At 40.1% G+C, this 14,892-nt stretch overlaps 1 protein-coding gene and 1 pseudogene across 26 annotated transcripts in view; one reads left to right on the top strand and one right to left on the bottom strand.

The window, feature by feature from the left end:
- ACACA (acetyl-CoA carboxylase alpha) overlaps positions 1-14,892 on the bottom strand; it is a 321,845-nt gene that overhangs the window by 70,249 nt on the left and 236,704 nt on the right. For all 26 annotated transcript variants that reach the window (XM_011524701.2, XM_006721853.2, NM_198834.3 and 23 more), the window contains 2 exons: positions 6,541-6,810; positions 443-540 (listed from right to left, as the gene is read on the bottom strand). In XM_011524701.2, the coding sequence (XP_011523003.1) occupies positions 443-540; positions 6,541-6,810 (368 nt within the window). The remainder of the gene's footprint in view (positions 1-442; positions 541-6,540; positions 6,811-14,892) is intronic.
- Positions 7,340-7,956, top strand: RPL18AP12 (ribosomal protein L18a pseudogene 12; annotated as a pseudogene).

Below are 14,892 nucleotides of genomic sequence, written 5' to 3' on the forward strand. Positions count from 1 at the left end.
TATTCTTAAATAATGTTTTAAGAATACACGAAATTTCCCCAAAAATAGTTTTTAGTGAAAAGGATAAATTATAAAAGAAATTCTTGTTATAATCTCAATCACATAGAAAAAAGATATGTCTATAGAAAAGACAGCAAGTGTATAACATAAATTCATAATCGTGGCCTGAAGGTGGGATTGTGGCTAATTTTTTTTTCTTTATAATTGTTTACATGTTTCAGTTTTTCTAAAATGAATTAAGTATTATAAATTTAAAAACTTCAATCAATAACCCAAGGTTCTTCAGCTAATAAGTGGTAGAGCTGGATGTAAACCTAAAACATCTAGATTATGTCATCTTCAATGTTCTTCAAGGTTATGAACAGCTGTACAATATGGAAAAAAATACCATATTCTCCTTTCTTTAGTCATGACCAAATTATTCCAATACATATATACCTACCTGGATTCTCCTTCATCTTCCACGTGTTCACAATGGACAGAGTTGAGAGCACTGACTCTCTTATAATCTTGAGGAGTCAGATATAAATACCTGTATCCCTGTGAAGCACAAATAGTTTTTAACTCATTATTTGCCATTGTCATATAATCAGAAGATACAGCAAAGCATACATAATGAAGCTTGTTCCACAGCTAGCTTTAAATTGCCACATCACTTCTTAGGTTTACTGTCTAACAGAATACTAGCACAGACAGTCCTCCTTTGAAAGATGAAGTGCCTATTTTTTCACTCACTAACTGTCCTTGAAACAAGACACCTTATAGCTGCAATTCCAAGTATATTCCCTTCATTTCATTTTCTTTCTTTCTTTCTTTTTTTTTTTTTTTTTTTTTTTTTGTTGAGATGGAGTCTCACTCTGTTGCCCAGGCTGGAGTGCAGTGGCGCGATCTCAGCTCACTGCAAGTTCCGCCTCCTGGGTTCACACCATTCTCCTGCCTCAGCCTCCCAAGTAGCTGGGACTACAGGCACCCACCACCTCGCCTGGCTAATTTTTTGTATTTTTAGTAGCGACAGGGTTTCACCGTGTTAGCCAGGATGGTCTCAATCTCCTGACCTCGTGATCCGCCCGCCTCGGCCTCCCAAAGTGCTGGGATTAAAGGCGTGAGCCACTGCTCCCGGCCTCATTTCATTTTCAACAGGGTTAAAGGGTCATTTTCTGATCTTTAGTGACATCTCTATTAAAGATATCAACATGTAATTAAAGAATTGTGTGAATTACTATTTTTCACTCTCTCAAATCCACAGGATCATCAAAATAAATATAAGCAAGGGATAACAGAAAACCGCAAATCTAGGAGATTCAATATTAAAATCAGAAGTCTACACAGTGCTAATAGTGAACACTGAACTCAGATCTTTTGTTTTTTCAATAAACAACTCCTAATGCCCATTTACATGTAAACAATTATACTAACATTTCATAATTGATTTATATGTATCTATACACACAGCCACATACAAAGTAGAGTTACATGGTATATGTGTTTAACTTAAGTGAATTAGTCACTCAGTCAAAAAAATAAGTAAACACAGGGAAGCATTTTAAATACTATGAGAAATTATGCCCACCATTTAACTCAATAAATGTATGTCCCACAGTGAGCACAACACGGAAAAGACATAAATCTGCGATTGGTCTTGCATGATTTGTGTTGAGAATGCCTGACAGCACTGAGTGTCATTAGTATGTCAGTCAGTACACATTTACTGAGTGCCTATTATGTACAAGGTACTATTCCAGGCACTGGAAAAACAGGAATTAACAAAAATAGACAAGAATTCCTACCCTTATGAAACATACCTCCTACTCGGAAAGTCAGGAAATACACAAAATAAGTAAAATGTATAATGTAAATGGGAATAACGTTTAAGGAAAACAAAATGAAAGAGAAGGTAGACAGTCGAACTTTTAGAAAAAATAACCAAGGAAAGCCTCATTGAAAAGTGTCATTTGAGTAAAGACCTAAAGGAGCTGAGGCTATGAGACATGAGGATATCTGAGGAAAAAGCATTCTAGGTAGAAGGAGCAGCAAGTACAAATGCACTGAGGCATGATGTGCTTCGCAGGTTTAAGAAAGCAGAGTCGGGTAGAGCCAATGTGTGGAATGGTCAGGGGAGGCTGTAGCAAGAAATGAGGGCAGAGTGGTACTGGAAAGCCAATCTATGTAAGGCCTTGTAGGCAACTATATGATCTTTGGCTTTTACTTGAATGAATTGGGAAGCTATTAAAGGGTTTTAAGTGGAGAAAAATTTTGTGATCTGATTTATATTTTAACTAGATCATTCTATCTTTTTTTTTTTTTTTTTTTTTTTGAGCAGAGTCTCCTTCTGTCACCCAGGCAGGAGTGCAGTGGTGCGATCTTGACTCACTGCAACCTCTGCCTCCTGGGCTAAAGTAATTCTCCCACCTCAGCCTCCCAAGTAGCTGGGATTACAGGCATCTGTCACAATGCCCAGCTAATTTTTATATTTTTAGTAGACAGAGGGTTTCACCATGTTGGCCAGGCTGTTCTCGAACTCCTGACCTCAAGTTGATCCATCTGCCTCAGCCTCCCAAAGTGCTGGGATTACAGGCATGAGCATGAGCCACCACACATGGCCTCATTCTACATTCTGTTGAGAACAGACCTTGGGTGGGGCTGGGAGCAAGGCCAGAGGCAGGAAGACCAATTAGGAGGGTACTGCAATATGCAGGTAAGAAGAGTTAGACTACTGCTACTGCTAGTAAGTAGCTGTGGAATTTGTTAGAAGTACTCAGATTCTGGATATATTTTAAGGTAGGGATGTAAACATGATTTACTGTTTAGATGGATGAATGGGGTGTGGAAGTGAATGTGGGGTGTGCAAGAAAGACAGAAGTCAAGAATAACTCCAAGGTCTTTTACTTGAACAAATGAAACAATAGAGGTACCATCTGTTGAGACAGAAGACTGTGGGAAGAACACATTAAAGGAAGATTAGAAGCTACAATTTAGGCAGACATTTAGGCAGATGTAAGTAGAGATGTTGAGTCTGGATATATGAATCTTGTGTTCAGGGGTAAGATATAAATTTGGAAGTTTATCAGCTTGTACATGAAACTTAAAGCTTTAAAAGACTGGATGAGGCTGGGTGCGGTGGTTCACACCTCTAATTCCTGCACTTTGGGAGGCCAAGATGGGCGGATCACTTTGAGCTCAGGAATTCGAGACCAGCCTGGGCAACGTGGGGAAACCCCATCTCTACAAAAACCAAAATAATTAGCCAGGCATGCTGGTGCATGGTTGTAGTCCCAGTTACTCAGGAGGGTGAGGCTGGAAAATTGCTTCAACCCAGGAGGCAGAGGTTGCATTGAGCCATAATCGCACCACTGCACACCAGCCTGGGCAACACAGTGAGACCCTGTCTCAAAAAAACAAAACAAAACAAAAAAACAGGATGAGATCACCAAGGGAAGGTGAATAGGAAAAGAGGAGTAGTCCAGGGACCAAGCCCTTGAATCACTTTTTTCCTTCTACCCTACTTTCTATATTGGCTGTCTTGCCAAACCACCAGGTGAGAGGGCATTGGGTCCTAGTGGGGTTGAGAATGGGGAGTCCAGAACTTCTTGGTCCTGCTGCAGCCTCTGTGCTCCTGACATGTCTCCATTCACTTTTTTTTATAATTAAAAAAACTGGCCAGGCACAGTGGCTAATGCCTATAATCTCAGCACTTGGGGAGGCCAAGGTGGGAGGATCACTTGAGGCCAGGAGTTTGAGAGAAGTCTGGGCAACACAGCAAAACCTTGTCTTTATGAAAAATAATAAAATTAGCTGGGTGTAGTGGTGTGCGCCTGTAGTCCCAGCTACTTGAGAGGTGGAGGTGGGAGGATCACTTGAGCCCAGGAGTTGGCAGATACAGTAGGCTATGAATGTGCCACTGTACTCCAGCCTGGGTGACAGAGCTAGACCCTGTCTCTTAAAAAAAAAAGAGATAAAATTAATATAACATAAAATTAAACATTTTGGTTTTTAAAGTTTTTTTTTAGTCTCACTCTGTCACCCAGGCTGAGTACAATGGCACGATCCTGGCTCACTGCAACCTCCACCTCCCGCATTCAAGCAATTCTCATGCCTCTCTACCTCCCGAATAGCTGGGATTACAGACGTGTGCTACCATGACCAGCTAATTTTTTATATTTTAGTAGAGATGGTATTTCGCTATGTTAGCCAGGCTGATCTCGAACTCCTGGCCTCAAGTGATCTGCCTGCCTCGGCCTCCCGAAGTGCTGGGTTACTGCAACCAGCCAAAATTCACCATTTTGAAATGTATAACTCAGTAGACTTTAGTATATTCAGATGTTTTGCAACCATTACCACTAATTCCAGAATATTTTCATCAGCCCCAGAAAAACCCCTGTACTGGATCAATTCCCATACTTTAATAAAGTTTTTCTATGAACTTTATTGAAATATAATTTACATGCAATAAAATTCATCAGTTTTAAGTGTTATAACTTGATGAGTTATGACAAATGTATGTACTTAGGTAGCCACCACCACAATCAAAATATAGAATATTTCCATCATCTCCTGAAATACTCTTACATTTAAAGATGTGAAAGGCAGCAAAGGAAACTGAGAAAGAGGAGCCAGGAATGCAGGAAGATAAAAAGGAGACTTTGGGCTCTTGGAAGCCAACAGAAGAAAGTATTTCAAGGATGAAGGAATGACCAACTGTGTCAAATGCTAATGCTATTGTCAAATAACTAAGGTGAAGACTGAGAATTCACCATAGAATTCAGTAATATGGAATCACTGGTGACCCTGACAAAAGCAGCTTCAGTGGAATGGTAAGGGTGCAAGCTCAAGTGAAGTGGGTTCAAGAGGGAATGGGAGAAGAACATCTGGAGACAGCAAGAACAACTCCTTTAAAACAATTTTCCTGTAAAGGGAAGGAGGGGAGGGACAGTGACTGGAGGGGTGTTTGTATGCTAAAAGGGCTGATACAGTACAGAGGGAAAAAGTGCTGATGCACAAAAGAGCAGGAGGAAGTGTTGATCGTACACTTAAGTTAGCAAGAAAGGAGATCAAATGTACAAGAGGAGGGATTGTCTTTAGACAGAAGTAGGAACTATTCATTCAAAGTGTGGAAGAGAAGGTGAAGAGTAAGGGCACAACGGATGCAGGTACATGGAAGCTTGTAGAAGCTCTCTTCTCATTGTTTCTCTTTTCTTGAAAATTGGGAAGCAAGGTCTGATGATATCAGCTAAGAGTGGGGAGAGGGAAGTGCGTGTTACAGGTTTGAGGGGAGAGATGTGAAACCGTCATCCAGGAGGTTGCTAAGCTTGAATTTAAAGTAAGATCAGTCAACAGAACTGTTTTTTTCTCCATCAAAGTTCAGCTGGGCAGGTGCAGGCATGGGAGCAGAATGGAGAGAGTTGGATTTAAACACTCTGTAAAAGCACAGAGTAAGCAGAGTGAAGAGAGAAGCAAGTTGAAGCAAGTTGAGAGAGAAAGTTGAAGGTGCAGAAAAGATGGTGATTATAATGATTAATCAAGGACTGACCTTGGAGTTTAAGCCAGATAGGAATGAAATGAGGTGTAAGGAGGGAGTGAAGAACAGAAGAAAGGTGGGAGGATAAACAGGTGAGTTCAACTCAATGGTACTGATGATTTCAAAGGATTGTTGGACTAGAGAGAGGAAGCTGGAAAGAGAGGATGGAGGGGGTAGCAAAGAAAGAGATACTTGAAATTGAGATTATGGGGAATGAGAGGCTGAGCTAGGGTATAGGACAGAACCACTAGAAGAAAAGAAGTCAAGGATCCAAGAGGCCAGATTATGGGAAGAATCATCTATGTGGATATAGCAATCACCAAGAATTATCACATGACTATTAGTAATGGACAGAGTGGCAATGTGCCAGGAACTAAAAGATGCAAAGAATGAGAGGGAGTGACCAAAGGATCAGGAAACACAAGGAGCAGTATGGGTATGGCACAGTCTGATGACATGAGATTCAAAGATGGGATTTTTTCAGAGAGAAGGGAGAGGTGTCTGGAAGCAGCAATGAGGATCAAGGAGGACAATATTCCCCTTCCAGGCTCAGTGGTTCAAAAGAAAGACAGAAATCAGTCAGTACTTCAGAGGGCTACGGGGGAAGCAATATCTTTAGAGGAGAGACAGATCTCAAGGTGAACAAGGAGGTTGGAGCAGAAGATGAGGAGGTAAGGGATTTTGTTGATAATTGACCGTAAGTCCTGGAAGCCACAATTAAATAAAGATATATATTTTTGATTTAGCATGTCTCGCACTAAATGCATACCTACTATTTCATCTAGTGCTCAACCAAAGAAACAGCAACCTGTTTTATAGATGGAAGAAAAACCAAGTGAACATATTGAGAAATAATTTGTCTTTAATATGGTGTCTTAAGGAATTTTCACAAATAATTTTGTTTATATTTAATTTTTACCATAAGTGGTGATTTTTGAACTTAAACCTCTACCCTTCCCCCACCTCTCCACACATGTAGCATAACCATATAGCACCTTGAAGTAGTATATGCTCTTAGTGTGTACCTTGTAAGGATCCTCAGGATCTACCCAGGCCACATGAAACATATGGCGAATTTCTTCTGCCAGTCCGATTCTTGCTCCACTGTTGGCTGATACATAGATGCGTGGAATACCTTCTGCCCTAGCAAGTTCGGAAGCTCTGAGAAATAACAAATCCTCTTGAGGCCCAAAGGACCCAATTCGGTATGTGATGTCATTGCCAATAACAATGATATCTCGGCCTTCTGGATATTCAGGACTTTTAAAGGTCATTTTCCAAGCTACCATGCCAATCTGGAAAGGCATAAACAAACAAATGAACAGAAGTTTCTTACAGGCAGAATTTTTTTCAGGTTCATTGAAGGTATCAGAGTATACCTAGGCACAGCCATTATGTAAAGATACACATTGCTAAAGAGCCAAACTCCCTGTGGGAAACTACAAAAGACATTCTAGTATACTGCTAGATTATGCTGAGAACAGCTGGTCTACTGTGTATTTCAAAACTGTCTCAATTCCTTCTTTGGGCCTGCTCAAAGAAGACAGAAAAGTCAAAATCTAAATGCACTCAGGATACATGTGGAAGAATGCCATGGCACTGTTGATTAAATCTAGATATCTCATTTTACTGCCATATATACTAAGACACTGATATGGTTTGGATGTCTGTCCTCTCTAAATCTCATGTTGAGATATGATTCCTAACATTAGAGGTGGGGCCTGGTGTGAGGTGTTTGGGTCATGGGGTGGATCCCTCATGAATGGCTTGGTGCTCCCCTTTGATCTGAGTTTATGCTAGATCTGGTTGTTTGAAAGAGTGTGGCCTCTTGTGGGTGAAAGCAAGCATGAAGAGAGTGCTATGAACGCCTTGGGCACACTACAAGAGTACAAGGTGGTGGGTTGCTGCCTGCCCACCCCCAAATGCCACATGCTGCCCTTCTATGGTATGCGAATCTTGCACCTAATCATGTCATTGTCAAGTCCCGTCTCTGGTACTTGGTATCTCAGCTAAAGAAGATAAGGAGTCTTCAGGGAAAATTGTCTACTGTAGGTAGGTGTTTGAGAAATCCCCCCTGCAGGTGAAGAAATCTGGCATCTAGCTGCACTACGACTCCCGTAGCAGCACCTACAACATGTACTGGATATCAGGACTTGACCACCATGGGTGCTGTCATCCAGTGCTAGTGAGACATGGGCACCTGGCATCACACACAGGCCCACTCCACCCAGATCATGAAGGTGGAGACTGCGGCCAGCAAGTGCTGCCAGCTGGCGGTCAAACAGTTCCATGACTCCGAGATCAAGTTCCCACTGCCCCATGGGGTCCTGCATGGTTAGCATAAGCCATACTTCACCACCAAGAGTCCCAACACCTTCTTCTAGGTGCAGGGCCCTCTCACCCAGGTGTGGCTTAAATTAACTCAAAAATGTCACGGTGCTAAAAAAAAAAAAAAAAAAAAGAGTGTAGCACTTTGCCCCCCACCTCTCTCTTGCTCCCTCTCACCTCTCTCTTGCTCCCTCTCTCACCATGTCATGTGCTGGGTCCCCCTTCACCTTCCTCCAAGATCATAAGCTTCCTGAGACCCTTAGCAGAAGCCCAACAGATGCAGTTGCCATGCTTATAGAGCCTGCAGAACCATGATCCAAAAATAAACATCTTTTCTTTATAAATTATCCAGCCTCAGGTATTCCTTTATAGCAACACAAATGGACTATCACAGACACTATTTCCATCTTTTGTGACATTTGTTCCAAGAAACCTTTAACACACAAGGAAGCAGAAAAAGGATGACGTCTCACGGACTGTACACTTTTCATGATCCAGGCTCCTTGTACTGTCCTCTAGCATTTGATAGGAATAACAGAAACACTCTTTACTGATTTGTTTCAGGTATGTTCCATTTCTGCTAGAATTTACCAATGCTCAACATTGCATCCTTGTGAGCATCTCTTGCTTTCTTCTAGCACCAGAAAAACCAAAGGATGGAAATAACTAATCTCTTGCTGCACTATATGTAAATCTCTGCTCTCTGTTCAGCAGCATCTGGCCAGCTACACAAATAAATGATATTGACTTAAAAGGCAGAGGTGACATGTCTCTTCCCAAACTCTCACAGCCCTCTCCTGTTTTAATCCCCTTCTATATGAGAACTAGTCAATCCTTCTACTTGTATATTTGCTAGTTCCATTTCTTTTCTATGCTATTCATTCATACGCTAGTTACAGCTGTAGTTTTTCATGTCTGCCTGCCTGTTTCCCCTATACCTGGATAAGTAATGTTTTCCATTCTTTTTTTCCCCCTTTCTTTCTGTCTCTCACCCCCCTCCTTGCCCCCACCACTCGCCACCAAACACAAAGCCTACCTACCAGATGAGCTTCCCTGGTCCTGCCTAATGGAGCCCCAGCCACATCTGCAGCCTTGGTCCCTCATCCCCAGGCTGCTGCATATCACCTCATTGGGGAGCTGGCCATCAAGAAGGGCCATTAACAGATGTAAATAGCGGCATCCCTGGAAAGCCACATGCATCACCCAGACTCAACCAGGCCAGTGATCATAAGCTCTGAGTACACATTCCTCAATCCAATTGCACATCCACTGTAATCAGGCTGGTTGAAGCATTCTACACAGCTATTTGTGATTCTCAGCATTAGGAAATATATATATGAAACACCCTCAGATAAATATAAGCTATTTAATATATCATACCATTGGCCAAATACAAGTCAAAATGGATATGATACACAGAAAAAAATCCAATCACTTTCTAAGATAAGGTATTACTCTATCTACTCATTAAAGACAGAGAAAGGAAGGAAAAATAGATCATTCAAAAAATAACACAGTGAACACTCAAATATCAGGATAATTTTGGTTGTGGTTTCTAAGAAGCTAGTTAATATAATCCCTGCATGAGGAGAAATGCTTTATCTGCCTTCACACATGCCCCTCTAACCCCAAACCTTTTGTTTTTCAGGAATGAAAAGCTATTTTCTGTCAATTTTCCTCTAAATGCATTTGTAGTTAGAAAGATTGCGTTTTACACCAAATTTTATGATATATTAACCCTAGGCACATAGGCCAGAAGCAGCTTAGATACAAGCCCTGAAGAATCTACTTCAGCATTTGTGTGCTAATGTAAACATTGTGACCATGTGGCACTGGGCAGGCAAATAATACTCTTATCTTTCATTACTACCTGGGGACTCTAACTGTGTCACTTGGGCAGCAAGTTCAGCAATTGGCTAGGTCATTATGCTTGCAATATTGACTTCTAATTAGGTGTCAGCACAGCAGCACCAAGAACACACTATTCTTTATCAATGTCTTTCCAAAGTATGTTGCTCATCGACCGCCTCCCCACCCCGCCCCGCCCCCCATCTTAAAAAGTACCATTACAGAATGGAGAGTGTTATCCCAGTCTCAGTGCAGCAAGATTCCTGATCAGAAGACATTCAGTTTTGAGGTAGCATGATGGACAAACATCTAAGAAAGCACTATTATTCAATTTACATTAAAATAATTTAGATTTCACTGCTAATCAAAGGATAGGGCATATAAAGGTGAACATGGGCTTTGGAGTCCAACAAACTTAGATCCAAATCCAGGCGCTATCACTTATATTAACTAACTGTGTGATCTTAAGAAAATTATTTAATTTTACTGAGCTTCAATGTCCCCACATGCGAAATTAAGAAAATAATACCCATGGGTTTGATAAACACACTATTAGAAGCAGAAATCTACTATATTAACTTCTACGTAAAAAACTTTGTCTTTCTCTCTCCTCTCCTCTCACTCTGTCCAAATCTTACCCATTCCAAAAGGTTCATCCAAATTCCATTTCCTCAGTAAAGCTTCTCCCAGCCTAAAGTAATTCCTATCTTTTCTGATCTCCTACTAAGACCTCTGTGTAGAGAATTTTTTTTTTTTTTTTTGAGACAGAGTCTCGCTCTGTCACCCAGGCTGGAGTGTAGTGGCACAATCTTGGCTCACTGCAACCTTCAACTCCTGGGCTCAAGGCAATCCTCCCATCTCAGCCTCCCAAATAACTGGGACTACAGGCATGTGCCACCATACTCGGCCAATTTTTGCATTTTTTTGTAGAGACAGGATTTTACCATGTTGCCCAGGCTGGTCTCAAACTCCTGGCCTCAAGCCATCCTCCTGCCTAGGCCTCCCAAATTACTGGGATTATAGGCGTGAGCCACCTTGCCCAGCCTGAGAATTCTTCTGATAACTAATTATATGCTGCCTAGGATTGCTTTTGGCTTACCATCTTGAACGATTATAGCATCTCCTCTAGTGCTTCCCAGGAACATTAAACATAGTCTGGGAGTAATAAATGTTTGCTAGTTCCAGAGTCTTTTTATTTTTTCAATTTAATTTTTTTTTTTAAGACAGGGTCTTGCTATGTCACCTAGGCTGGAGTGCAGTGGCACAAATACAGCTCACTGAAGCCTTGGCCTCCTGGGCTTAAGTGATTCTCCCATTCAGCCTCCTGTGTAGCTGGGACCACAGGCATGTGTGTTACCACCATGCCCAGCTAATTTTTTTTATTTTTTGTAGAGATGGGGTCTCACCATCTTGCCCAGGCTGGTCTTGAACTCCTGGACTCAAGTGATCCTCCTGTCTCGGCCTCCCAAAATGCTGGGATTACAGGTGTGAGCCACTGCACCCTGCCTCACTTTTAAAAATAACACTTGAAAAATACTTAACACCAAGGGCTTAGAACATTGCCACTTATATTTTAGGAATCATAGAATAAGAGTCCTGAATATTCTTAAACTATTTTATTTTAAAAATAACAATAGCTATCATAATAACTACCATTAATTGAACATTTACTATCTGCTGTACTGTTCTAAAAGTTGACAACTACTGATAGTGGTTAAGAGCTTAAGCTGCAAAGTCAAGCTGTCTTGGTTCAAATCTCAGTTTTATGCTAGCCGTATAACCTTGGACACTTAACCTTTTACAGTTTCACTTTTCCAATTATAAAATGGGGATGACAGCACCTTTCTGGAGGTATTGTTGTGAGCAACACCATGTTAAACTAGTACAGAGCCTGGCACACAAAAGCCCTCAAATGGTAGTCAGTATTAATTCAAAGGTAGCTGTAATTATTGCCATGAGGAAATTAAGGCACAGAGGAATTAAGTAACCTGTCCTTATAGCTAATGTGAATTGTTTACTTATTTTTTTTTTGAGATGGAGTCTTGCTCCGTCACCCAGGCTGGAGTGCAGTAGCGTGATCTCGGGTCACTACAACCTCCACCTCCCGAGTTCAAGCAATTCTCCTGCCTCAGTTTCCTGAGTAGCTGGGATTACAGGTGCATGCCACCAGGCCTGGCTAATTTTTGCATTTTTTTTTTTTTTTTTTTTTTGGTACAGATGGGGTTTCACCATGTTGGCCAGGTTGGTCTCGAACTCCTGACCTTGTGATCCGCCCGCCTTGGCCTCCCAAAGTGCTTATTTTTTAAAAGGAGTTTCACATACACAAAAATGGTATTTTCTTTTTTTTTTTTTTTTTTTGAGACAGAGTCTCAGGCCATTGCCCAGGCTGGAGTACAGTGGCGTGATCTTGGCTTGCTGCAACCTGTGCCTAGGTTGGAGTGCAGTGATGCAATCTTGGCTTGCTGCAACCTCCGCCTCTCAGGTTCAAGTGATTATCCTGCCTCAGCCTCCCAAGTAACTAGGATTACAGGCACGTAACACCACGCCCGGCTAATTTTTGTATTTTTAGTAGAGACGGGATTTCACCATGTTGGCCAGGCTGGTCTCGAACCCCTGACCTCAGGTGATCCACCTGCCTCGGCCTCCCAAAGTGCTGGGATAGCAGGCACGAGCCACCGCGCCCAGCCAAGAAATGGCATTTTCTTTACTAGAGAAATTAAGGAAGTATGTTCCTTAATTAAAAAGATATTAGTACAAAAACTGGCAAAAAAAAAAAAAAAAAAGAGGTCTGTGGTTTATTTAATACAATTGTATCAATATTTATTTCTTAGTTTGGTAATCATATCATGGTTACATAAAGTGTTTTAACATTAAGAGAAGCTGGGAAAGGGTATACCAGAACTCTCTAATATGATCTTTGTAACTTTCCTGAAAATCTAAAATTATTTTGGAGGGAAGTAAATTGGATAGCAAGATCACTGTTAGTGTTCTGTACAGCCTTATAAGATGATGACTATGAAGACTATGAATAGCATTTAAAAATACCCATGATGTAATACTAAATTAGAAAAGGGTTCAGACTCAGGAGCCACATTCTGAGACTCTGAATCTGAATCTAAGATAATTTGACAGAACTGAGACTCAGCTTTCTAGCCATATACGCTAAGGTAAGTTATCAACCTCCCTGTACCTCAGTTCCTTCACTGGTAAAACAAGGGTAATAAAAATCTACGGCATAAGTTTGTTGTAAGGATTAAATACATGTTAAGTCCTAGGATAGTGCCTGGTATATAGTAAGTGCATAGTATGAATGACAACTTCATCAATTGAAAAGCACTTTGCGGGGTAAAAACAAAAATAAATAAGAAACAGCAAAATGAGGTGATAATTATTGGGATGATGAAATTGTATTTTTTTTCCATTCTCCAAATTTTCTTTTTTGTGTTTATATTGCATTGATAACTTTAACTTTTTATAAAATAAAAAATAACTGAGAAAAGAAAACTACCAAATACTCTTCACTGGGTGATAGGTACATGGGAGTTTATATTATTTATGCCTACTTTAGTGTACGTTTGAGCATTTCCATAACAAAAAAAAAAATTTAAGGGGGGAAAAAAATCTCACCAGCCTAATTGATTTCCCATATTTTAGAGGAACTAATTCTAGATTTTAGTCATACTACAACCGATCTTATTTATATAAAATTTGAAAGAGATAAATGTATGAAAATTAAAAATCAAGACTCACTTTAAAGAGAAAGAAATATCAAGAACTACGTTAGTTTGTTGGGTTATCATTTCATTTTCTAAAAAGAAATGCTCTGCAATGATGTGGTAGAGTGTAAACATATGTATATATAGGTTTATACAATATTAATGTCTCTACCTCAGAAGTAACTGCTTCAGTGTTTTTCTGGTCTGATGGTTAAATACATATTTATATTTTTAAAGTCAATATTTGTACAATAGACAAGAACAGTGCGTATCAGCTAAATACATATTTAGGACTGTACCACATGTATTACAAACATGTACTAAAATCGAAAGCTTTTATTTATACAGAACCTTTCATCTTGAAGAGGGCTAAAGAACTTTACAAACATATGTACATAAAAGGACGTTTGCACTGATAGGCAGGGAAGGTACTCATTCACCCACTCCCCTATTTCTTCTACCAGTCCTGGGTAGGAACACATGGTGTCAACAGATGCAGGTCTGTAACAGCTGCAAAGACATACAACACAATAATCCAGTTGTGATGCACAGTCACTGAGAGGAAGCTTGCAACTTGAGAATAGCAACAGCTCTCCTCCAGTGTAGAAGCACCATAGCCATTTCCAGCTTTGTGTTTTTAAATTATTCTCTACCCAACTCAACTAATCACCTGACAAAATTGAATTTGATACTGGAAATGGTTTCTGAATGCAAAATACTTTCTGTCTGATGATGAAAACTAGATTGAAAAATGCTTCCCTCTGCCCTTGTTAGATTTAGGAAAAATAAAAAAGGGTTACAACATTCAGGAGAAATGGTTCAAAATATTCTACCTAAGAATAGCTTCATCTCAAAGGATTAGATCATTGCTTTGGAAGAGAGTCATATTTCACTCTCTAATTAGTACACTGTTAAGTTTTTCAGTCAAATTACTTTCTATAGATGGGTCTATCTATATTATATACATAATGGAGATTTCATATCGAAAATTCTACAATCACTATAAAAGTATACACAGTGTGACAATGTGATTAGCAATGTGACATTCATTGATTTCACCTAAGCCCAATCTGCATGTATATTAATTGAAGAATAATGACTAACGGAGACCCCATCATTAAATCCCTCTTTTTGGGGGTCTTCTCTTTCTCTCCAACATTTTTATCCAGGTGAAACCCAGTGAAAATGACATGCCAGGACTAAGAGCTGAAGGAAGATGGAAGAGCTAAGAAATTAACAAAAAGGTACCCTGTAGCCCGCATGTAAGTGGGTGGGTTTATGGTCTAATGAGTTTTAGACTCAAACGGGCAGTGCCAGTGTCGTCTTCTCTGATCACTGCCTCTCTCATGCACTGACTAAACAAGTGGTCCTAGGTACTTACTACAAATTATTTTGTCATTACTATAGCCATGAATAAGTTTTAAAATATTTAATTTCAGATCATTTTTCATAACAGAACATTCCAACGAGCAGGTTTATTAGGTT

Source organism: Homo sapiens, chromosome 17, assembly GCF_000001405.40.
Source record: "Homo sapiens chromosome 17, GRCh38.p14 Primary Assembly".
Classification (NCBI taxonomy): Eukaryota; Metazoa; Chordata; class Mammalia; order Primates; family Hominidae; genus Homo; species Homo sapiens.